Below are 25512 nucleotides of genomic sequence, written 5' to 3'. Positions count from 1 at the left end.
AATTCGTTCTTACTTTGCCATTCAAAGCATTCTGTTCCCTGACTCCCCAGCCCTTCTTCGCTCCATTCTAACAGTTGAGTTTGCTTGTGTTTTATCCATCCATCCATCCATCCATCCATCCATCCATCCATCCATCCATCCACCCACCTACCCATGTGCCTATTTTGAATCAGGCACTGGGGACAGAGAGATGACATGATGAATTACTGTCCTCGTGACATGGCAGCTTAGGGGTGGGGAACAGGATATATACAAGAAAAATTAGTAGCAGTGCAATTAAATATGCACAAGGCACAGAGGCTGTAAAAAGAGATGTTTGGATGGTGAATAAGGAGCTGGGAAGGCAATAAGGTGCTGGCAAGAGATCTGGGGACCCTTTAAGCAGAAGGAATGCTGTGCACCGGCCTGGGTGGATGTAAAAGCATGCTGCATGTAGGAAGCGCTGTTTGGAAAATTGTTGAGGCACAAAGTAGGAGAATCTGGGGATAGGGCAGGGATTTGTGAGAATTAGTCTGGACTATTGGGCAGGGCCCAGGGCTTCAGAGGCCCTCTATGTTATGCTAAGGCTCTCAGGCTCATCCTGACAGTCCTGGGCCTCCACCCAGTGGTTGGTTTTAGGGAAGGTCATGACATGGTGAGACTAGTTTGGAGAGACAACTCTGGCAACACTGCTGAGGATACGTTTCACGGGTGACTCTCCAAGACAGGGAGGCCTATGGGGTGTAAAAGTAGGAATGACATTACCAGGGAGGAAGACGACACATTCAAGAGGTGTTGTGGAGGTAAAGTTGGTAGCGCTGAATGATAGGTGGTAGGAGTGGGGACTGCCATCTAGGTTTCTGGCTTGAGAAAGTGGGTGCATGAGAGTTTTGTGCCCACACCCAGTGCTGTCTAAACTAGTGGCCATTCTGCCTCAGGCCTACCTCGGTTGCCCCTGTCTTCCATTTTGTTACCAACATATAAATCAGGCCTTCATTTCTTACCTAGATTCTTGAAGTATCCTCAGCATCTCTTTCAGTCCATCCTACGAAATACTGCCATCATAATCTTCCAGGGACAGCTGAACAATTCCCATTGCATAGTGAATGATGTCCCATCTTTTAGTATCACCATCAATATTTACAGCTAGAGGAGACATTCTTTTTCCTTGGAGTCCAATTTTTGAGAGAAGATGAGGCATATTATATGTGAAGTAATTGAATGTCAAGTGGTCTTTAAGAGGGGTCACAGAATTCCTACTCTGAAGGCAACTGAAGGAAGGAGGCAGGGTGTCTCCAGGGGTGATCATGAGTGATCATGGTCTGTGCCCATCATTTTTTTCCAGGTGCATCTTCCACTTCTCCCCTGGCCTTGTGCTCTCTGGTCTGGTTTCATTGTTGCCTAAAAGTGACCCCTTTTCCCACCTGGGTCTTTGCAGACTGCATTGCCTCTGCCTGGAATACTTTCACTCACATTCCTGTCTGTTGAAATCCTACCCATCTTTTGATATCCAGTCCAAATGCAAGAACCCCATGAATGCCCAGGGGAATGGATCCTCCAGAAGCACTATCCTCTCTTATGACACCGCACATTTACTGTGCACAGCATCTAACATGTCTCGTATTTTATCTCCCCCACTGGACCGCTAGACCAGGAGCAGAAGTGGAAAATCGGAGGCCTTAAGCCTGGGGTCAACCTTTGAATGTGTTTTGTTAATTTGCATATTTTTCCCTCACAGAATTTAATTTTTTTAAAAAATCATGACCTGTGTTAAACATACAGAAAAACTGAGAATATTATATAATAATGTATATTTGGGACTTATCACCAAGAATGAACAGATTTGCTGCTGACACCTCGCCACCCACTTTTTAAGATACAAAATGTTACACATACAGTTTGAACACTAGCCCACATATCCCTCCCCTGGAGCTGGTCTTCACACTGCTTTTTCAAATTTAGGGTTAGTCACTAATATTTAGAAATGAAAAGATTTCACATAAGAGTTGGACTTTGGCCACTTTTCTGCAAGATCTCTCTAGGCCACTGTGGGCTCCCCACTCCATCCCTGGCCTGGGAGCCTGCCTGTCGGGTCCATGGCTGAGTCTTGCACCTGAGCTCCTCATCTGCCCTCTGTACACGTTTCCCAGAAGGCGGGTGGGCATCCTCATGTCCCTCATCCTCCTCTTCACCACTGCCCAAACTGTGCCCCCTGCCTTGGAACCAGGAATCCAAGGCCTCCTTCAAGCCCCACTGGCTCCTGTGGCTTTTCCCAGTGACTTCAGCTCAGCTCCATTCTCTGTACTCACATATACCTAAACCCTTAAGCTGGTGGCTGAGCACTTGCCTGTGTTTTCATTCATTCCTTTGCCAGGTACCCTGCAGAGCCACCCCGGTGGAGAAAAGACACCTAAAAGTCCGTGCTGGGTCAGGTTTCCTTCCTTGTTCTTCCCTCTGAGACTTTGCTGCCGCTGTGTGGTGAGTCTCGTGAGGTGCAGCAGAGTTTGGTGCAGGAGCTCCGCCAGCCTCACACCCTCAGGTATAAGAAGTGATGGCACATTTTGTTGGCCACAACACAACAAGGCCTTATTGCTTGTTCAGTTGAGAATCCTGGCCCATCCGATTCCCTCGTCTCTTTCTTTAAGCAACCCTTGCTGCCCGTTGAAAATATGTCCTTTTCTTTACCTTCCCTGTGAAAAGTGCCCTGGTGGTTTTATAGGCGTGGGGTTTCGCAAGGCTGAAAAACCAGGGGGAAGGGCTCTTTCCTCAGATTCCACCACTCTCCTTTTCTTCCCATTCTATTTGACATTAACATACGGATGGTGTGCATGCCTTTCAAGAGCTGGACAGATGCTGGCTCTTGCATTTTGTGCAGTGGCCGGGGAAGGATGGGTGTTCCATTTTCCACGTTACCCCACTGCCTGGGGCCACACCCCCTGATGCTAGTGCTGATCATCTGTCCCTTGTGGTTTTGACGATGGTGGAAACCTGTTCATCTGGGCCAGAATATGGTTTCCTTTACTCTACAGGATGAACACTGAAACTAATTCCTTTGTGGTAATCAAATTCAACTGATTAATGATCTGTAAATTTCCTCTGTAAGAAAGAAGTCATCTTGATGTTGTGTATTACTCTAATCATGCTGTGATACATCCAGGTCCAGAGGAGATAGCTTCCCCTCCCCACACTGTTGACCCACAGCAACCTCCTCACCTGCTTCCGCTCAATTCTGTCCCTGATGCCCCTGACAGTGTTTCTTTTGACTGTGTTTTTGTTGGTTGCTTAATAACTATGTCATCATTGAAGTCCCCAAACTTATATTGATTGGCCTCATCTCTTCATGGAAATTGAGACAAATGAGAGGACCAGTGATTAAAGGGGAGATAGAGAGAAGAAAGTGGCTAAGGAGATGGAAGAATGAAGGAAGAACAGATGTAATTTAAAATGAAAAAGAGAAAGGAGAGAGAGACCATTAAATCTGGGGATATGGGATAGTAGACTTCTACTTTGAGGCTGAATAGAAGGTATATTTTGGGGAAAGTTCACACTTGTTTTCTTTACTTGCCCAGGAACCCATGATGTGGCTTCATTGGGTGATTGGAAGGGTGAAATGCAGGGTTATGAATAACCAGAATGATCAACACACATATAGCCAGGTGTGTTCTACAGACCTTCAAGGAAATTGGCACTGAAGGTGGAGGCTGGATGCATTTTTGCTTCTCTCTGCCCTGCTCAGGGCCATTTGCTAAGGCATGCAAACCCTTCCAGATACTCCTCGAGGATTCTCCTGGATTCTAGAGAGTCCCCTGCAAGGGACTGGGCAAGAAGGAGGTAATCCAAGGTAGCCGGGGCTCTCCCATAAATCGGCACCCCATGCTTCAGTGCTCTGCTGTACCACGGACAAGACCAGTTCAGGCTGTGTAATTGGGTGGAAAGATAAGGACTTTCAAGGCCAACTCCCTCATAGCAGGCCTAGTCACTAATCAGTGTGACTGTGCACAAGTTTCCTTGCTAATAAAATGGAAATTGTCACTCTACCTCATAGATTTCTGATGAGTATTAAATGAGATAATATATGTCATATGTAGGTTATGTTGTACATGTGTGAAACATAGTAGAGCTTATTCATTCAGTCTTCATCCGCCCTCCCTGACCCTCCCACTACTCTGCCCACCTCCTAACCCCTGTTTCAGCCTACTCTTCTAAATGAGAGATGGTGATACCTGGAAATGTAAAAGAAAGGAGAAAAGTATGTATTAACAGTAACCACACTTTTCTCCACTTTAAGCATTAAATCATTTATTACTCTTTTCATTGAACTCTGTGAAGAAATAGGAGATTTAAAAGAAAAGAAATCCCTTCTCATTTAAGAGGGGAAATGGAGCTATAGTAGTCGAAAGAGACCCTCAAGTTAAAAGAGATCCCAAATTGTTCAGAATCAGGCCACGAGATTTGGTAACAGCAAATCACCTTGTGTGTCCTCTGGCATGTGATTAGGACAGAAAGCTTTTGGTTAGGCCACTGACTGCACAGGTTTTGATGGCACAGGAAGATAATAAGTTGGCTATTGTGTGAAAGGGAGGCAACAGGATCTGGGCTTGTGCCCTTGTCACCTTCTGTATGAAGCCAGGAGGATGGAGCTTGATGACATCGCCTAACAATACCCACATGCACATCTCTGTCATCCTTAAATCACTGAGTCTTGGACTTTAGGGTCTCCTTGTTCCAGTCCACAAGGGAACCAACCCACTCCATGGTTTTCTGCTGGGCTTCCTCCCAGCTGTAAATTGGCTTATACGCCAGATCTCGCTGAGCCTTCTTGTAAGAGAAGGTGACCATGCTGTTGGACAATGTCACTGTGTGGCAGTTGAAGGGAGGTCAATAGGTATAAATTGACCTGAGCAGGAAGCTCACTATTTCCAGCAGGAAGCCAATTCAGTACCTCAGGGCTAAAGGAAGCCTCCATCTGGAATCAAGGCAGAGGCCGAACTCTTTGCTCAGGGCGTAATTAAGGTTATCATAGCTTTGGTGAGGCGTGTCATCTGAGATGTAGTAGAACTGTCCTCAGACACTTGGGACCTTCTTGGGGCCCCACAGGGCCTCAAGGCCAGAATGTGGGCCCAGCCCACATAGACTGGGTTGGTTGTGGAGAACTTTCCAACAGTTGACAGGATCGCATTGTTTTTCAAGGCCTTATTTATATTGTCAGTAAGAAATGGGCTTCCTTCCCCATAGATATGCATTGAGCTTAAGGCACAAGTGTACAACATGCCAGCATTTTTCAGAGTCCACACATTAGCCACCAGCACAGCCTTCTCAGCAAGTTTTTGCTGTATGGATATGGAGCAGACCATGTGTTTTCCAGATGCTCTTGTTTGTGTCGATTCTGGAAAATCTCTTTGTAGGAGTTGGGCCAGGCTACCTGTATGCTGCTGGTATGGATGAAGACTAGCACACTAGCTTGGACACAGGCCTCCAACAGCTGTTGGGTACCTGCCCATGAAGAGCATGCTGTCAATGTCAGGAAATATCCCTAAGGGGGACCAACCACGTGAACAGATCCATGTGTCTCACTCCCCACTCCCAAGTTCAGTGGTTGTAATAGACTCGAGGTACATTCTTCAGTGGATCTGACTGAGATTGGGTCATGCTACAGCCATAGGAAAAACACAAAAATGAAAATCCTACTGGAAAGGCTAAGTGAGGTCTTAGTAAAGCACACCTCTCTATCTCCTGCCTCAGTCGAGAGACATCTAAACGATAAATTTATTACTCAGGCAGCTCCTGTCATCAGGAGGAAGTTGCAGAAACAGGCTCTGGGATCAGATAGTACATTAGAGGAGCTCCTGAAAGTGGCCATCTCGGTCTTTCCTCATAGAGACAGAAAAGCCCAGGAAAGAGAGAGGAGATACAGAAAAAAACCAAAAGCTTTACTGGCCTTGGTGCAAGCCCACAAACCCCAGAATTCCTGGGGTGCATCTGTTAACTGCTAAAGATATGCCAAGAACAGTTATGTCTCTTCTAAAGTTTAACCAGTCCAGGGTGAAACAGCTCGTACAATGTTGTTAGTATATTTTACTTCTTGTCTCTGTAATCTTTGGCACTAAATTCTTTCCTTGTTTAATACACATGTTTAATTCTGTGCCTGTTAAAAAGGCCCAAGATTCTAGCAGACACACACAAGCTGCTGGATGTCAAGAGGAGCAGATCAGGGGAAGAAGACAGAAGCAGCTAGATGTTGAGGGAAGCACATCAGTGAAGAAACACAGGGCAGCTGGATGTTGAGAGGGATGCACTGACCAGCAGAAGGATGCAGAGTTTGGCCAAGCAGTTAGGGAAGTGTCAGGCCACTGAGCAGCACACTCCGGGGGAAAACCATTCTATTCTGGCTTCCTCCATCTGCTGAGAGCTACCTCCACTCAATAAAAGCTTGCACTCATTCTCCAAGCTCAGGTGTGATTCAATTTTTCTGGTACACTAAGAGAAGAACCCAGGATATAGAAAGCCCTCCGTCCTTGTGGCAAGCTGGACGGTCTAAGGTCTAATTGAGCTGGTTAACACAAGCTGCCTATAGACGGCAAAACTAAAAGAGCAAAACTAAAAGAGCACCATGTAACACATGCCCACTGGGGCTTCAGGAGCTGTGAACATTTGCCCCTAGATGCTGCTTTGGAGTTGGAGCCCTCCAGCCTGCTCATCCGTATGCTCCCCTAGTGGTCTGAGCAGGGGCACTGAAGGAGGGAGCCACACCCCCATCACACGCACTGTGAAGGGGACAAGGGATTTTTCCCATTTCATTCTCATCAGTGTACAACAAGATTTAAAATGATGACTATAGTGGCACTTGGAAGATTTGATTCTGGCCCACAGAGGCAAGGGGTGGCTGGATATCAAGAGTCTGAAGTCGGAGTTTAGCTGAATTTGATTGGAGCCACAGTAGAAAGAGCATCCACAGCCTTTGGAGTCACACAGGGGTGAGTTTAAAGTCTCATTCTCCTACTTACTTACTTACCTGGGGGGCCTTGGACAAGTTACTTGCCATCTCTCAGCCCTAGTCTTCTCATGTAAAAAACTGAAGGTAGCAGCTTTGAACTCCCCCAGTTGGTAGTGATTAGCAAAGACACTTGGCCCAGAGCATAGCAGGTGTTCAGCGGAGGGACTTCTCTTCCTTCATTGTTTATCTTTCTGATCCTTGTTTGCTCCACCTTGCTCCATCTCCTCCTCAGGCTACTGTACCTTTCACGTTGAAGTTCATGATAGACTCTCTGTGAGTGACACCGAAGATGTCAATGATAGAGGCGGTGTGGATGACTACCGAGATGTCCTGGCAGGCTCTCTTCAGGCATGACTGATCCAGAATGTCTCCTTCTAGCACTGTCATCTTGGTCTTGTTCTGGAGCTCTGCAAGAACATAGGTCAGGTCATTGGAAGGGTTTCCGAATCTGGCTTGGAAGTTTCCTGATAAAGATGATGTTACATAGGTGTTCGAGGATGGTTAGAGTTGGGTTGTTAGAGTGGAGGATGTACACTCCATGGAAGGAACAATTAAACAAAGGCACAGAAGTCAGCACGTTTAGCAATTTTTTGGGAAAGAGCAAACATCTGTTTCTACCCCATCTCATTTCAGAAAAGTAATCTGAGCAATGAGCTGTCAGGTGTGCCTGGAATATAAGCACGGCTAGGGTCATGGGAGACTCACCAAAATTTTTAAGGAGAGTAGGGTGATTGTGGAGAGTTGGGTATAAGAGGGAAAAGTTTGAATTTAATTCTGTAGGTAATGCAGAATTGTGATTTTCGGTCTCCAGCACCATGTCACAGAAAACCCCTTATTTATATTTGGAACAAGTAGAGAAACAGGCCAGGGGTGGTGGCTCACACCTGTGATTCTAGCAATTTGGGAGACTGAGGCAGGTGGATCGCTTGCATCCAGGAGGTTGAGACCAGCCTGGACAACTTGGTGAAACCCCGTCTCTACCAAAAATACACAAATTAGCCAGACATAGTGGTGAATGCCTACACTCCCAGCTAATAAGAAGCCTGAGGTAGGAGGATGGATGGGTCCCAGGAGGTGAAGGTGGCAGTGAGCAGAGATCATGCCTCTGGACTCCAGCCTGGGTGGCACAGCAAAATCCTGTTTCAAAAAGAAAAAGAAAAACAGAAGCAGAATTGTAGTGTAGGAAGTTAACCTTGCCTCAAGGATATAAAATGGACTGGTATAGGGGATATGAGAAAGCCAGGGGATCAAGAGATTAATCAGAATGTCTGTGCCAAAGTTTAGATGAGGACTGGAAGCGGGGTCCAGCAGTGGAAGCAGAGGAGGAGAGAGATACACCAGGTTGGAATTTCAGACCTCACCTTGAAGGTCCTGGTACCTGTTGGATCTTGGCTGAGAGGAAAAGGAGAAGATAAAATCACCCCTATGGTTTCCTGCTTGAGCAACTGGGAGGAGAGTGGAGCCATTACTAGCGAATTGCAGAAGAGTTTAAATAATGAATTTTTTTGAAAATTCTTATTGGATATTATCAAAGGAGGTACAAATGCTGAAAATGAGTCAGTCACCAATGAACTAACATCCAGCTGTGTAGCCCAGGGCAGCAGTTACAACATCAATGTCTTCAGGCTCCTCTGAAATCCACAGGTAGTGATGCTGCCAGTAAAGTTGTCACCTGGAATTAGCCCACAAAATGAACACCATGCTACATGGAGCTCAGATAAATACTTTACACTCATTTGTGCTTTATAATCTGCATACAGCTCACAGCTTGCTTATTTCCTTTTACAGCTGTCTCATGAGGTAGGTGTTCTGAATCCCATTTTATTGGTGAAGAAACTGGGGCTCAGAGAGGTTAAGGGACAGATTAAAGGTCACGTTTCTAGTGAAGGCTCAAAGTTGCCCACCCCACCTCCAAGTCTTGTACCCTGTACACCAGGTGCAGGAATAGCTGTTTACAATCAACTTTTCTGAGAAAGAGTAAGAATAAGTCAGTTTAACTGAAATTGGCAACAAAGGCCAAAGAACAGTGAGAGTAAAATTCAGAGTGAAAAATTCAAAGCAGGAGAAATTCCTTCCTGGGATACAGGTGGGACCATTTGCTCTCCTGATGCCTCTGCCTTGTTTTGTCTACTCCCAGCCCCTTCCCACTGTCAGGCAACTCCAAGGAGGCCCTGGAATGGGGGAGGCAGGGAAGAGGCTGCTGGGGAGGAGGTGGGTGACAGCCTGAGAGTGGAATTTTCTCTGGTAGTATTTCCACCTCTGTACTTCCTGCTCCCTTCATCTGCTTCCCATTTGCTGCCAACTTCAGACTGGCTCAAAGGAATTGTCATTTCAAAGCTGAAGAAGTCTAAAGCCAAGAGAAAATGACTCTTCCGCAGTGAGTTCACAGGGAACTAGAGAGACCAGGAAAGGGGACTTTGTGGATGGAGCCATTGCTCCCTCCCTCCTCAAGCTGCTAGACGAACTACTGCTTAAGAGCACAGATGCTGCACTAGACCACATGGGTTCAAATCCAACTTTGCCATATTCTAACTGTGGAACATTGGACAAGTTCATTAATCTCTCTCTGACTGTTTCCTCATCTGTAAGAAAGGAGGCTAATAACATTAACAATCTCATAGGGCTGTTATGAGCAGCAAATGAGTGGGCACATGCAAACCATGTAGCACAGTGCCTGGCACAGAAAAAACACTGAAAGGATTCTCTGTTTTTATCTTCATACAGTCTTTTGCCCATCCATTATACCCCTGCATTTTCACCACAGGGGAATTGTTCCTCTAGGCTAAGCATTGCTTTTTCTTTGTATTACGTGTTAGAGTGCAAATATTGGTGAGACATAATGATTACAATCATTTAAAATTCATGAAGTGTTAATATTTGTTTATCAAAGACACCATTAGAACAGAGGGTGGAGGAAATCAGAAGAGGTCAGAGAAGAGTGAAAGAAGAGTAGAGTGCTGGGTGTGGTCCCTGAGTGCTGTCAAGTGGGGACTCTTCTGTGGGCAGCACATGACCCTCTGCACAATCAGAGCCCACATGTAGATACACAGTCCTCCCAATCCCATGGGATGGGGAGGAGGACAGGGAATTGGACACACAGGGAGGCAAAAGGAGAGACTGAAGACCCATTTTGCCAAGTGTCAGCCCCAGGGCCAAGTGAAGCCTCTGGATGAAGCTTTGGTCTGAGCTCTGCTACACATTAATCAGATGGCCTTGGCAAATCGCTTTGTTTCTGGACCTTGATGCGTTCATTGTCCACTTGGATATCACCCCTTTTCTACCACCTTCCTCATAGTGTTATTTGCACAAGGAGTTGCTACAACAAATTCTGCAATTGCAGGGTGGGGGTGGGGGGGGGGCGGGTATTGAGCAACAGAGACAAATGGTTTTTAAAAAAAAGCCATATGTGAGAAATGAAAATGAGGCATGCCTGGCCTTATACTGCCTCTTACTCTGTCTCTGCTCTGTGCTGTGTGCTTGTGCACACTGTCTCCCTCTCACTGCTGCTCTCTCTCTCACTCTTTCTCATTCGTTCTCCATCTTTCTCATTTTCTCTCTCTGATTTTTCTCTCCCCTTCATTTTCTCTCTCTTTCTCACTCTCTGACATGCACACACAGGCACATATGCACACACATACACACACTTAAACACTCATCTTTACCTCCGCTTCCTTTTATTTTACCTCCACTAAAGATGCTGAGGATGCTATGAAACAAAACAAAGCTTGGGGCAGTCTAGACAGGCAGGGACCCACTGGTGAGGTCTCCAGGTAAATGCTGTCCTTTGTGAATGATGTAAAGCAATTGCCAAGACAAAAAGCTTCAGAGCATAAAAGACTTGTAGACAAGAATGAGAACTGATGTGGGATTTTCTAGATGAAAAGAGGCCTGGAGGCTGAGGTGGCTGCCTCTCAAGTTCTGGGTCAGGGCCAGAATCCAGTCTCTGGACAGCCTGTCCAGTATCTTTCACACTATGCCATTTTATACTATTTAATTTTCTTTTTTTGATGACTTTGGATGTGGGATTGGCTTAGGTTTGGCTACAACTTGCCATAACTTGCCAGAAAAGCTCCACCTTCCCACACCCATGCAAGGTTTAAAATGTAGCCACACACCCATGACTCAAGTTTACTTACTAGAAAATTTCTCCCTCAATCCTGATCTGAAGGCCTTGTCCAAGGCCCTGATCTCCTTTAGCTCCTTCTCCTTCACCAAGAGGTTGACAATCCTCTGACCCGGAAACCCTCCTGCTCCTGTCACAAGGCAGCTCCAGCCCATCATGGCCAATCCAAGATTGCAGGAAACACTCGCCAGGAAATAGAAGATCCTGGGGAGCAGATCTTATTCTAGGGTGACCATGGAGAGGACTAAAAACAGAGGTAAAGTGGTTATAGACTTGCACAGATGCCTTATTTTCCTCCACCACATTGTTTGCAAAAATTCCATGTCCCCACCACTGCCAAGAGTAGCTGAAAGAAAATGAAAAAGCTTTCACCATTAATTAAATGGTTAAAAGGCTGGACAGAAGAGTCAAGGTGCTGGCCACTTCATTCCCTAAGGCAGCCCTGGAGCTTTATGCTCTGTGGCTCCTAGCTTGTCCCTTATCACTCTGAACTCATGCCACATACTCATTGCTCCCATCTCCTCCGGCATCCCTTTTCTCAGAAGAATAGTGACCTTTAGGTTATATCTCTAATTCTTCCCAGGAACAGGAAGAGAAATCCAATCCTAAGGCCACTCTTCGAAAAAGATTAAGTGGTAAAATGTGTGGTAAAGAGTCTGTGGAGAAGAGTGTGGTAAAGAGTCTTAGGTTTAGCCTTAACAGGACGCTGGTCAGTTCATACCAGCTGTCTGGGATCTGCAATCTGTGAAGTTAAACTAGACTGGGAGATATCTCCAAGTGCAATGTGAACTTTGCCTTTGTGCAGTAAATATGTTTGGAGGGGAATCCACATTAGCACATTATTTCCTGTCTGAGTGTCATTTGAAATGTTGCTATTATCTTGTAAAGTTTAGAAATTTGCAATGGTGACAGCTCCAATCACTTAGTTTTATGTGAGGTGACTTTCTTTCCTACTGAATATATCCAAGACCTCAATTGCAACTTTCCCCTGAAGAGCTCTGGGTTACTAGATGAAGAACATCATTGAAGGAAAGGTATCTATTGATAACTGCTTAATAATATGGCCCGTACCACAAGAGTGGAGATTGTAGTTGTTTGCCCCAATGACTCTTGTCATAGATGTTTGAACTTATGCCATATTTTTGGCTGCAAAACCATTTTCAGCAAATTCCTGAACTGAACATGCTGTGAGTGCTTCTGAAGCCTATGCATTAGAACTGCCCAAATTTACCCACCGTAAGCTCCTGAGACACTTTCTTTACTTAAAAAAATGTAATTTGTATTCATTAAACTGCCCAGATCTCAAGTGTTCAGTCCAGTGAAACTTGACAGTTATGTATGCCCGTGTAAGTACCATCCAAAAAAACAGAGGCCATTTTCTTCTTGAAAAGAAGTTCTTAGTTAATTCCTTGCACTGTACCCAACCTACTTGGTAGACAACTACTTTCTGATTTTTATTCTCATAGAATTCTTATTTTATTCCCATATTTTCCTAACTTTTTATTTTAAGATTTCTGTGGTTCTGGATACATATTTAAATATAAAATCATTCTGAAATGAAGTTTTGTTCATGGAGTATAGAAAAATTGACCATTGATTGTCTCTATTGTTTGTTCATTTTTTATTTCATGATTTTCTTTATTATTGGCTTACATTTATTAATTTTGTGTTTATTTTACAGTTATTTTTCAGTATTCTTATGATGAAAATATAGATAATTGACTTTACTCCTTTGTTCATTTCCACTATAGGCATTTAAAGTTGTAAATTTCTCTCTAAGCACTATGTCAGCTGTAGCCAACATTTTGATGCATTATCATCACTCAGTTACTGATGTTTTAAATTTTTTCTTGTGAGTTCATCTACGACCAAAGTGTAATTCAGATTATGTTGCTTGTTTTCTAAGACTGGGGGCTTTCTAGATATCTTTTTTTTTTTTTTTTTTTTTTTTTTTTGAGACGGAGTTTCGCTCTGTCGCCCAGGCTGGAGTGCCGTGGCAAGACCTCAGCTCACTGCAAGCTCCGCCTCCCGGGTTCATGCCATTCTCCTGCTTCAGCCTCCAGAGTAGCTGGGACTACAGGCGCCCGCCATCACGCCCGGCTATTTTTTCTATTTTTAGTAGAGATGAGGTTTCACCGTGTTAGCCAGGATGGTCTTGATCTCCTGACCTTGTGATCCGCCCACCTCGGCCTCCCAAAGTGCTGGGATTACAGGTGTGAGCCATCTATATATCTTATTGTTGCAGATTTCTAATTAAATACTATTGTGGCCATAGCATATTCTCCACATGATTCTGATCCTTGGATATACATTGAGACTTATTTTATGGTGCAGCAAATAGTCTATGTTGGTGAAAATGCCATAAGCATGTGAAAAGAATGCTTTTTGCAGTTGCTGGAAATAATACTCTACAAATGATTTGGTTTGAAACCCCACTCTGGGTCTTGCCCTCCTCCCATGTTGTAGACATTCATCTGCTACTTGGGGTCTGACTACCAATGCTTCAAACCCACTTGCCTAGGAAAGGTTGGCCCTGTGCTGGAAGATGTAGCAGCTGGTTCTCTGAAACTATCGGAACTAGCTACAGGCCCTGGGTCTTGCTGAGACTTGTGGAGCACTATCTGAAACCACTCAGGTGCATCGCATGCCTTTGTCTGCTGTATCAGATGCTGGAGTGTACCTTATAGATACCCCATCACCTTCAGGGTGGGGCCGGACATTCCCTCAGCTGTTGAGAGTTCTGGAGGCTGATAGATTTCAGCCAGTGTCTCTTGGAATCTCTGAGTGGAAGCAATAAATATAAGCCCTGAAGAAAGTGAGAAATTAAACAAAGGGCAAGACAGATGGGGCCCACACTACTAAACTTTTTTGTTTTTAAACAGCTTTACTAAGGTATAATTGACATATCATAACATTCACCTTTTTTAAGTGTACAGTTCAATTATTTTTAGTAAAATTTTAGACATGTGTGACCATTACCACGACCCTGTTTTGCAACATTTCTATCATTCCTAAAAAATCCCTCATGCTTATCAGTTGCCACCTTTTCTTCCCACTCCCCAACTCAAGGCAACCCTTAATTGACTTTCTGACTCTACAGATTTGCCTTTTCTGGACACCATATAAATAGAATCATGCAATATGTGGTCTTTTGTATCTGTCTTCTTTCACCTAACTTAATATACTTTTGTGTTTTATCTATGTTGTAGCACATATCAATATTTCATTCCTTTTAGGTGTCAAATCCTATTAAATTGTATTGATAGTTCCCATTTGTTTGTTCATTCATCTGTTGATAGATATTTGATGTGTTTCCACTTTATGGACTGTTATGGATAAAGCTGCTATGAATATTCATTCACATTCATGTGTTGTGTGGACATAGGTTTTTATTTCTTTTGGGTAAACAGCTAGGAGTGAAAGTGCTAGGTCATATGGTAAATGTATCTTCAAAGTTTTTAAGAAACTGCCAAACTGGTTTTCAACATGGCTGCATGTCCCATCGACAATGCATGAGTAGTTTGATTTTTCCACATCATTGTTTTTTCACTTCCTCCAGTTGCTTCTGTCCTTTTTTATTATAGCATTCTAGTGGGTAAGAAGTAATGTCTCACTGTAGTTTCAGTTTGCATTTCCCTGATCACTAATGATGCTGACTATCTTTTCATGTACTTTATTGGCTATTCCTACACCTTTTTGGTGAAATGGCTATTTAAATATTTTGCCCATTTATAAAATTAGGTTATTTATCTTTTCGTTGTTCAGTTGTAAGTGTGTTTTATATCCTGGATATAAGTCCTTTATCAAACATAGAATTTGATATTTTTTCTCAGTCTGTGGCTTATCTTTTCATTTTCTTATTGTTGTCTTTAAGTGCAAACATTTTTAGTTTTGATCATGTTTCATTTTTCAACTCTTTTTTTAACCAGGAAAAGTTGAGTTTTTGTCTAATTCAGGATCATGAATACGCTAACCTATGTTTTCTTCTAAGAGGTGTATAATTTAGCCTTTACATTTAAGCCTATAATTTATTATGAGGGAATTTTTGCCTATGTCTGTGTTAATGGCCTGGATTCATATGGCCAATTGATTTTGACAATAGGAAATCCAATGGGGGAAAGCATAGTCTTTTAACCAAGTGATAATTAGACAACGGAATTGTCCACATGCTCAGGGAATGTCAGCCTGCTGTATCAAGTGATGCTCATCTGAGTCACCACCTATTGGCATCTGAGCATGTGAAGAATTTCTCAGTGTGATAATTATGGGTTAAATAATATGCTGTAGCTTTCTGCTTCTCCCATTTGACAGACAGCATCATCTTCTCGTGCAGAGCCAGCCACATCCCTGAGGCACCATGGTGAAAATGAAGGCCTAAGTCAATGGATTTGGCTTTATTGGGTGCTGGGTCACCAGGGCTACTTATAACTCTGATAAAGTGAATATTCTCACCATCAATCACCCCTTCATAGAGCTCAACTACATGGTCTACATGTTCCAGTATGAGTCCACCTATGACAAATTCCATGGCACCATCAAGGCTGAGAACAAGAAGCTTGTCATCAGTGGAAATCCCACCACCATCATCCAAAAGCTAGATCCCACCAAAATCAAATAGGGTGATTCTGGAACTGAGTACATCATAGAGTCCACTGGTGTCTTCACTACCATGGAAAAGGCTGGAGATCACTTGCAAGGTTGAGCTAAAAGAGTCATCATTTCTGCCCCCTCTGCTGATACCCCCATGTTTATAATGGGTATGAACCATGAGAAGTATGAAAACAGCCTCAAGAACATCAGCAATGCCTCCTGTACCACCAACTGTATAGCACCTCTAGCCAAGATGATTCATGACAACTTTGGAATAGTGGAATGACCCATGACCACAGTCAGCGCTATCGCTGCTACCCAGAAGACTGTGAATGCCCCTTCGTGAAACTGGCATCATGGCCGCAGAGATCTCATCTTTGCATCTACTGGCGCCGTCAAGGCTGTGGGCAATGAGATCCATGGGCTGAACGGGAAGCTCACTGGCATGGCCTTCCATGTACCCACCACCAATATGTTGGTCATGGACCTAACCTGCCATCTGGAAAAACCTGCCAAATATAACATCAAGAAGGTGGTGAAGCAGACATCAGAGGATCCCCTCAAGGGCATCCTGTGCTACACTGAGCACTAGGTTGTCTACTTCAGCTTAACCATTGACACCCACTCTTCCACCTTTGATCCTGGGGCTGTCATTGCCCTCAGTGACCACTTTCTCAAGCTCATTTTCTGGTATGACAATGAATTTGGTTATAGCAACAAAGTGGTGAACCTCATGGCCCACACGGCCTCCAAGGAGTAAGATCCCTGGACCACCAGCCCCAGCGAGAGCAAGAGAGGAAAAGAGAGGCCCTCAGGTGCTGGGGAGACTCTGCCACACTCAGTCCCCCACGACACTGAGAATCTCCCCTCCTCACAGTTTCCATGCAGAACCCCTGAAGAGGGAGGGGCCTAGGGAACCCCACCTTGTCCTGTACCATCAATAAAGTCCCCTGTCTGTGCTAGGCCAAAAAAAAAATGCTATATTAGGAAAACTCACAAAGATTACTGATCAGAAAAAGAATAGATAGCATGATTTCTCTATTCTCTTTTTTATGCTAATGCATAAATTGTCAAGAAATGATGGGCTCACAACGGCAATCTGCATTCCAATGTAGGAACACTAGTCTCCCTTATTATAATTTTTTTTTTGTCATGTAAGCAGAAGGACACAGCTTTAACAATGGAGGAACACACAGGCTGTTGGTGTGAAACAGTCTGGATTTAGGTGCCAACTGTTCACAAGATGGTGAAACTCAACTGCCCAGCACCTAGAGTCCTTGGGCCTCATGCAAAGAGTTTTCCTTTTCTTAGGGGATAAAGCCACCCATTGTACAGGGAGCTATAGTAGGCACAGCCCCTCATGTTGGGAAAAGGAAATCCCTCTTTTAGGCCAGCTTATTAAATTTCTGTGTTACTTTAGGATAATGACACCCCTTGTGCTATAGTCCTAGAGAGGTCAATTTGGACATGAGTAGCACAGAATAATTTTTAAAGGCACAGGATTAGATGAAATAAACTAGGGTAAGAATATTCATGGATAAAAGGGAAAGTTCCTGGACTGAATCCTGGAATAGATGTATCAATATTTAGAGGTTGAACAGAGAAGGAGGGACCAGCTAAATGTACTGAGTAGGAGTTGGTAGCAGGCAAGAGGAAAATTAGGAGATGGCCTTGTAAAAGTCAAGCAAAGAAAGTGTTTCAAGAAGAGTGTGGACCACTATTGGATGCTGCTGACGCATCAAATGCAATAGGAAAATAATTGATTATTGATTTTGACAACATCATAAGTAATTTGGTAAGAGAAATTTCCAGGAACTGTTGGGTTGAAAGTTCAATTGGAAAGTCCAACACACAATTCATCTGTGTGTTGAGGAATAGAAGAAAAATGTGAAGACAGTGACTTAATAAACACCTGTTCAAGAAGTAGTGTCATGAAGATCTCAGTAAAAAGGTGTTACAGCCAGTGGAGTCAAGAGTTTGTTTTTGTTGTCTTAAAACTGGACTGCTGCCTTTATGAATCCTCAGCACCTTGTACAGAGCAAATGTTCAAACATTTTCGAGTGTTTGACTCAATAAAGCATCTGTGTCTCATACACCTTTTTATTACCATAAGAATTTTCACAACATCTGACACGTAATAGAAACTTAATAAATGTTTACTGAATAAATGAAAGGAAGGATGAGTGAACAATCAAAGACTCTAGAATGTCTTAGTGCTTTTGAAACTTAGTGCTTATGAACTAATACATAAAAAGAAATAGAAGAGAACAGTGACCACAAAAATGAAAAAAGTAGAAAGTTTTCCATACTAATGTGAGGCTGGGACCAATGAACAGGCCAAAGCTGTTTGCCAAGGAGAAGCAATTTTCCTCCCAGCTAAAACATGGCTATGAGTAGGGTCCCAGGTATTTGAAGGGTACTTGAAGAGCCAGTTTTCAGAAGTAGGGAAAAATGGGCCATCTCCTCCACCATACAGGAGAACTGGGGGCAGAGCTTTTGGTTTATATGAGCTCAACTTGGCTATCTTTCCCAGCAAGGCCTTTGGAGTGAGGAAGAAGAAGTCTTTGGCAAAATCTCTTTTCCATCTCCTACTTAATTCTCTGTTTGTCAGTTATTTTGGGAAGGTCACATAGCTGCCATTCAACCAGGTGCTCCAGAGGCTGAAAATGATGGTATGGTAGCCAGCCTCTAAGGTGACTCCAGTGGTTCTACTTCTTCATATTCATTCCTTTGTGTGTGGGCTGAACCTAGTAACTTGCTTTTCATCAATATGATAAGACAAAAATGATGGGATGTTACTTCCATGATTAGGTTAGAAAAGATCGTTACTTCCATCTTGATTTTACGTTTCCTCTTTCTCACTGGGCTGGATGAAGCAAGCTGCCATGCTGGAGAGGACAATATAGCAATGAACTGAGGGCAGCGAACAGTCAAAGGGGAGCTGAGGCTCTCGGTCCAATGAGCTTCGAGGAAGTGAATCTTCCAACAATTATGTAAGTGAGCTTGAAAGTAGCTATTTTCCCAGTTGAGTCTTCTGATGAAATTGGAACTTTGTGCCAATCCCAGAGTTCTTGGAACTCCAATGTTTAAGAAAAAAAAAAAATGCCAGGTGCAGTGGCTCACAACTGTTAATTCCAGCATTTTGGGAGGCCATGGAGAGTGGATCACCTGAGGCCAGGAGGGTGAGACCCACGTGGCCAACATGATGAAACCCCATCTCTACTAAAAATACAAAAAAATTAGCTGGGCATGGTGGCATGTGCCTGTAATCCCAGCTTAATGGGAGACTGAGGCAGGATAATTGCTAGAACCCAGGTGGTGGAGGTTGCGGTGAGCCAAAGGTTGCGGTGAGCTGAGATCATGCCACTGCACTCCAGCCTAGGTGACAGAGGGAGACTCCATCTCAAAAGAAAAACAAAAAGAAAGAAAGAAAGAAAAAAGAAAAAAAAAGGTAGACTGTCGTACTTTCAACAAGCTACCTTCTTTCCTTGGGGACTTCTCTTGCATTACAAAGAACATTCACCCTTAGTTAAACTCAGTTTGAAAACTACAAGTGGTTTAGCAAATATTAGATACAGTGAAGTTTCTATGTGTTGGTGAAGATGTGGGGAGACAGGCATGTTATTTGTGGAAGTGTACGTTTATGCAAATTTCTGGTGAGTATTTGACAAAATATTTTAAACTTTCACACACTTGACCCAGCAAGTCCACTCCAGATATTTATTTTAAGGAAAAATCAGTTGAGATCAGACCAAGAGGTCATATGGGACATCTCCTTGCACATAGAAAGTTCTACATATGAGCTCTAATATATTAATTGAGTCATTTACTATATATGGCACTTTACATATATTTTCTCATTTAATTTTTAAAATAGACTTTATTTTCTATAACAGTTTTAGCCTCACAACAAAATTGAGAGAAAGTGCAGAGAGTTCTCATATACTCTCATTCCCACACATACACAGACTCCGCCACTATCAACATCCTGCACCAGAATGGTACATTTTGTACAATCAATTGATTTGCATTGACACAACTTTATCACTCAAAGTCCACAGTTTACTCTTAGCCTTGCACATTCTCTGAGTTTTTACAAATGTATACTGACATGTAAACACCATTTTAGTATCATCTGCCCTAAAAGTCCTCTGTGCTCTGCCTATTCATCCCTCTATGCATCTTGACTAGTACAGCCGTTGACTTTTTACTGTCTCCAAGGTTTTGCCTTTTCCAGAATGTCATATATTTGGAATCGCACTGCATGTAGCCTGTTCATTTTGGTTTCTTGCATCTAGTAATATATGTTTATGCTTCCTCCGTGTCTTTTTAAGGCTTGATAGTTCTTATTTTTTTTTACCACTTAATAATATTCCACTATCCATTGAACTACTGAAGGGTGATTTGACTGCCTCCAAGTTTCAATAATCATGAATAAAGCTGCTGTAAAGATCTAACCTAAAAGTATGTTTTTGTGTGGACATAGTTTCTTATTTATTTGTGTAAATGCAATAGAGCATAATTGCTGGATAATGCATTAAGAATATGTATAGCTTTATAAGAAACTGCCAAACTGCCTTACAAACTCTACCATTTTGCATCCCCACCAGCAATGGATGAGCATTCCTGATGCTCCACATTCTTGCTAGCATTTGGTGTTGTCAGTGTTATGGATTTTCACCATTCTAATAGATGTGCAGGGGTATTTTTGTTTTAGTTTGCAATTCTCTAATGACATATGATATTTAGTATCTTTTCATATGCTTTTTTTGTAATCTATGTATCTTCTTTGGAAGGTGTCTGTTCAGGTCTTTTGCCTGTTCAGGTCTTTGTCTTTTGCCTTTCTATCAGATTGCATTCCAAATGTAAGACATTTTCAGAATTGAAGAGATTCCTTCTGAGATTTTTATATGCATCTCTTCAGTTTACTGTGGGCATTCCTTTTCCCATGTTTCTGAGCAATGGAGAACAGCTTTTTGGTATTATCTTGATAATATTCTTGCTCATTTCCCTTGGAATTTTTGATCTAGCCCTCTGAGCCCAGTTGCAACCTAAAAAATTATACCCATGTGTGTCCAGGAGCACAGTTATCACCAGGTAGATGTATACAAAGAGAGCTTCTACTACATTTTCTTGTAAAGTAAGCTAATGTCATTGTCTGTATGCCACATTGTTTTAATACCATATGCTCATGTGATTTGTTTCACTCTTACCACAAACCAATCTCTAATGACTCCCCTAAGTCCTCAGCTTGTGATTTCATGGTTGAAGAGATGACCTTAAGTGGGCCACTACACCTGCATTGAAGTCCTTGTAATAAAAGAAACTTGGGGAAATTTTGCAACGTGATCACTAACAAGCAGGAAAGCATGAAAAAAAACTGATTTGCAAGATTCTGACTGGGTGTTTGGAGGGGTGGACATTATCGTACTTATGTTTTCTCTGATTTCAAGTCTTATCTTCAAGGCTTTTTTATTTGTTTACTTAACCACAAAGAACAATTTAATACTGAAATGTTCTTATCTTTTTCTAATGTGAGGAGAATCATGAGACCACAGTTATGAACTTAACACAAATGGAAGGAGGCTAACTAAGAAAGATGGTATCTGACAAAGAGTTCTATGATTTAGAAGGGAAATTCCAAAGAGTAAAGTTCTAGAAATGGCACCAAGTCCCACTGTCCATGAGGGTGATTCCTGATGGATGACAGGGGTATTAGGGTTGGGGAACAGGCCAAAGGAGAGCAAAGTCAGCCTAGGTTTGGTCATTTACTGTGGGGCGTGGCTGGTGGGACAGCTCTTCATGAGTCTGCCCACAGTCTGAGGCTGTGTTCTTGGGGACTGCTGGGTAAGAGAAGATTTCTTAGACTTTAATCTCTGCCATTCATTTAGCTCTGTAGTAATTTATTGAGAAAGCCTCCATCTATCTACTAAAACTATCCAATATGACCAAAATAAACATATCTCCTTTCTCATTTACTGGTGAAGAACTGGACTTGTCAATATTAATTTGCTTCCAGGGTCCCTGAATCTCTTATTTGAAAACTCTGCTACTTTTCTTGGAAGTCAGTGCATTGCACAGAATAGACATTAGCCAATGTGCCATAAAATCCTGTAACATTGTAGGTCATGACAAAGAATATTTTAGGCTTTTCTTTGCTCCTCTGTTCTTTCTTGTTCTGCTCTTTCTGGCCTTGGCTTTGTGACTCAAAGTAAAAAATATCCCCAAAGTTCCTTGCAGCAGTGCATGAGTTAAGCTAAACCAAGATCACTCTTGTCTCATATTCTTTTTAATCTCTTGAACTTGTATGGTCTGAATATATCCCCTTCAGATTCACATGTTGAAACTCAATTGCCAATGTGATACTGTTTAGAGCTGGGGCCTTTAGGAAGTGATTAACATATGAGGACAGGGCTTTCATGAATGGAGTAAGTGACCTTATAAAAGGGCTTCAGAAAACTAGCTGACCCCTTCCATTCTTCTGCCACATAAGGACACAGTGTCCACCTTTTGCAGAGGATGTGGCAAGAAGATGCTGTCTTGGAAGGAGACACAGGGCTCTCACCATACATGGAACCTACCGACACCTTGATCATGGACTTCCCAGACTCTGGAACATTAGAAATAAGTTTCTGTTATTTGTAAATTATCCAATCTGGTATTTATTTGTAAATTATCCAATCTGGTATATTTTGTTATACTAGTAAAAAACGGCTTAAACCATGAAGCTTCCATTTTGTTTCAAGTCACATGTTGCCATGCAAATAAGGGTGTTGAAGGTCATCTTCAAGGCCCATGGTCATCTAGGCATCCTGTCCCATAATGCAGCTGTGACTGCTGTGTCAGCCAGCCAATCACCCCTAGATATGTGATTTCTTAGTATGTCCCTAAACTTTCAGCACAAGCACTCCCTGCTTGCTGCCAGATTAAAGACCCCTCCCTGACCTCAAATTATCAGCCACCAATGCAGCAGACAATTTCACAGCTACATAAAAAGTTAAGGCCTAACACTGGGAGCATGGTGATTTCATTTTTCTTTTTATCAACCCATTAACAGTGACATCTAATTTAGACTTCTGAGCTTCTTTTCAATGATCATGATTCTCCAAAGTATGCACTACTCTTCCAAATATTCTAACGACACCTGCTTCATATTTTCCTTTCATCTGGCTTGACTGTGCTGCTCTGTTTAACAGATAGAGAGCATGAGTTCTGTTGGAAAACATTTTGTAGATGTAGCTCTTTTGTCCAGAGTTCAAAGTTCCATACTTATTTCTTAGAGATATACGGGATATGCAAAAAATTATAATCCACTGACAGTTTCAGTCATTACTGATCTGCCCTTTTAAGATCTTTTATTCTGAGAAGAACCAAAGGGACTGCTTTGAGTCACACATTTTATGAACTAATTTTTTAAGGGACTGCTGTTTTGAAAGTTTGGGGGTTCACTTCTTTTTACTTCTGGGTTCTGAATTGCAGTTATAGGCAAGTAGAGCTGTACCGCCATACTTCATTTTTCCTTTCTAAATATGTGGTGGTAGACACCCTATATATATATATGTTTGGGTTAAGCAAATAGACCTTAAAAGTTATTACCAGGTAGTCTGCTATGGGACTGCTTTCTCTTTTGGTGTTTTCCATGCTAATGTTCTTTTGACCCAGCTCTTGGCTCTGTGGGTTAATATGGGCAAAAGTGAACCTGTACTATGGTGTGGGTTCATGCAGGAAAGTGTCCAGTCAAGGAATGATAGAAGACTTTTCAGGTCTGTTGGCTTAGGTAGTGACCCATTCTGCTGGGTTCCGTCCTAACTCACAGTTTTCCTCCTTGGACGGTTATAATTTTCCAGATCTGCTAATGTATTTTGATCCAGCTTTGCCTTCCTGGATTAATTTATTTAATAAATATTTATGAGGCCCTCTATGACACTGGGCATGATTCTAAGCTCTTGGGAACGTAGCAGGGAGCAAGACTGCCTAAGGTCCCTATGCGGGTACAGATAAACAATAAAATCTACAACTGAGGTTAGTTGCAGGTTTTGGTAAGAGCTAGGAGGAGAGAGACAACGTGATGTGATGAGTGAAGCAGAGCGTATTTCGGAGAGGATAGTGAGGGATGTCTCACCTCTTTAGGGAGGTGACAGTTCAGCTGAGATCTACATGTCAACAGAGAGCCAACCATGAGAAGATGAGGAACGTCATTTTATGTAAAGGGAATGACAAATGTGAAGATTCAGAGGCAAGAAAGTTTTGCTTGTTTATGGAATAGAAGGAAGGTCGATCTCTCTGGGCATCATGAGTAAAAGGGAAGTGATGAGGAGTTGGAAAGTTGAGCAGATCATTCAGTGCCCGGGAGAGCTGGAGATCAGTTTATAGTGTGGTAAATGGAATGGGAAGCCATGGGAAGGTTTTAAATAGGTGAGACATAGGATTTGATTTTACTTTAAAAAAATCTCAGGCTGTTGTATGGAGAACAGAGTTTGGCAAGCAGCAAGAGAGATCATGGGAAAAGCCGCTGCTGCCACTATTCATTTAGACAGATATATTTTTTTCTCTAACCTTCTTTCTTTCTTGTTTTTTTTTTTTGAGACAGGGTCTTGCTCTGTCACTCAGAATACTGATGTGCAGTGGCACGATCCTCAACTTCCCAGGCCAAGAGATTCTCCTACCTCAGTCTAAGGAGTGGCTGGGACCACAGGTGTGCACCACTATGCCTGGTTAGACTTTTAACAAATTTTTAATTTTGTAGAGATGGGGGTCTCCCTATGTTGCCCAGGGTGGTCTCAAAATCCTAGGTTCAAGTGATCCTCCCACCTCGGCCTCCCAGAGTGCTGGGATTACAGACATGAGTATCCATGACCAGCTATCTCTAACTTTGCTGTGAGTGGGCCTCTGCCCACCTTCCAATTAGAGAAACTGTACCTGGTCACCTTGGAATTCTTGAGGTTTGATTGGTTTAAGCTACAGATTTTCTTAACCTTGGAGAGCTGTTTTGTTTTTCTTTTAAATGTAGAGAGTGATTCGTTAGAGTGAGGCCTAAGTATCTGTAATTTTGTAGAAACTCCCCAGGTGATTTTAATGAGGAAACAGGGTTGAGAATACTGTGGGACCAATTAGGGACCCCCCATTCTTTCTTGGGGATTACAGTAAGTATAAAACATAAGGCTCAAATCCTCTCCTCCACCAATATTATGGAGGCAAAGGGCAGTGCAAGGTGCAACAGGCTTTGTCTGCTTCTGGTAGACCACCTTTCACACAACTGCTCCAAATAGTGAAGACAGTAAAATAAGAGCCAGGAAAAGTGCCTGTCTTGGCTGTCCATTAGATAACTTCCACTGCTTCCATCAGTCCAGCAGTGGAAGGCTGCTGCTGGCCTTCACCTTCCTCACCATTCATAGTCTGTCTTCCTCCCCTTCTCTCATATCTTTATTTTCCCAACTCAGCTCACTTAACAAATCAAAACCACAAGCATGACTCCTTTTCTCAGTTGCCCTTGGCATTCACATAATTTCCGTCCTCTCTGCCCCGTGGGAGGGGAGGAGCACACCTGGCCAATCTCCAGCATGAATAGTCTAGTGCTTGCTCCTCTCTCTCATTGTCACAGCCACAAGTGCCCTGCAGATTGCAGTTTTCTGCTGCCAGACTGTGGTTTTAAGTTCATCTCTGCTAACCCAAAGCACATTCCAATAGGTTTCAATTTCCAGCTGCTCCCCTGGGATCCAAACCACTGTTCACAGTGCTCTCTGCATCGAGCTGGTGCTCTGCCTCATTCCAGCATCTGGGAATGTCAACTTTGGAAGCCAATGTGGTAGGCGGCAATTTGTTCCAT

At 42.9% G+C, this 25512-nt stretch overlaps 1 long non-coding RNA gene and 2 pseudogenes across 1 annotated transcript; 2 read left to right on the top strand and 1 right to left on the bottom strand.

Moving 5' to 3' along the window:
• The first annotated feature begins 1949 nt into the window (after positions 1-1949).
• Positions 1950-4014, top strand: LOC124904388 (uncharacterized). Its single transcript, XR_007066503.1, has 2 exons — positions 1950-2518; positions 3549-4014. It is a non-coding gene; the product is annotated as an uncharacterized LOC124904388 (long non-coding RNA).
• Positions 4015-4375: 361 nt separating this feature from the next.
• On the bottom strand, positions 4376-11342 carry HSD3BP1 (hydroxy-delta-5-steroid dehydrogenase, 3 beta, pseudogene 1; annotated as a pseudogene).
• On the top strand, positions 15383-16640 carry GAPDHP23 (glyceraldehyde 3 phosphate dehydrogenase pseudogene 23; annotated as a pseudogene).

The sequence above is a fragment of the Homo sapiens genome, chromosome 1 (genome assembly GCF_000001405.40).
Source record: "Homo sapiens chromosome 1, GRCh38.p14 Primary Assembly".
NCBI lineage: Eukaryota > Metazoa > Chordata > Mammalia > Primates > Hominidae > Homo > Homo sapiens.
The sequence above is the reverse complement of the archived record's forward strand: the minus strand, read 5'-3'. Positions and strand labels throughout refer to the sequence as shown.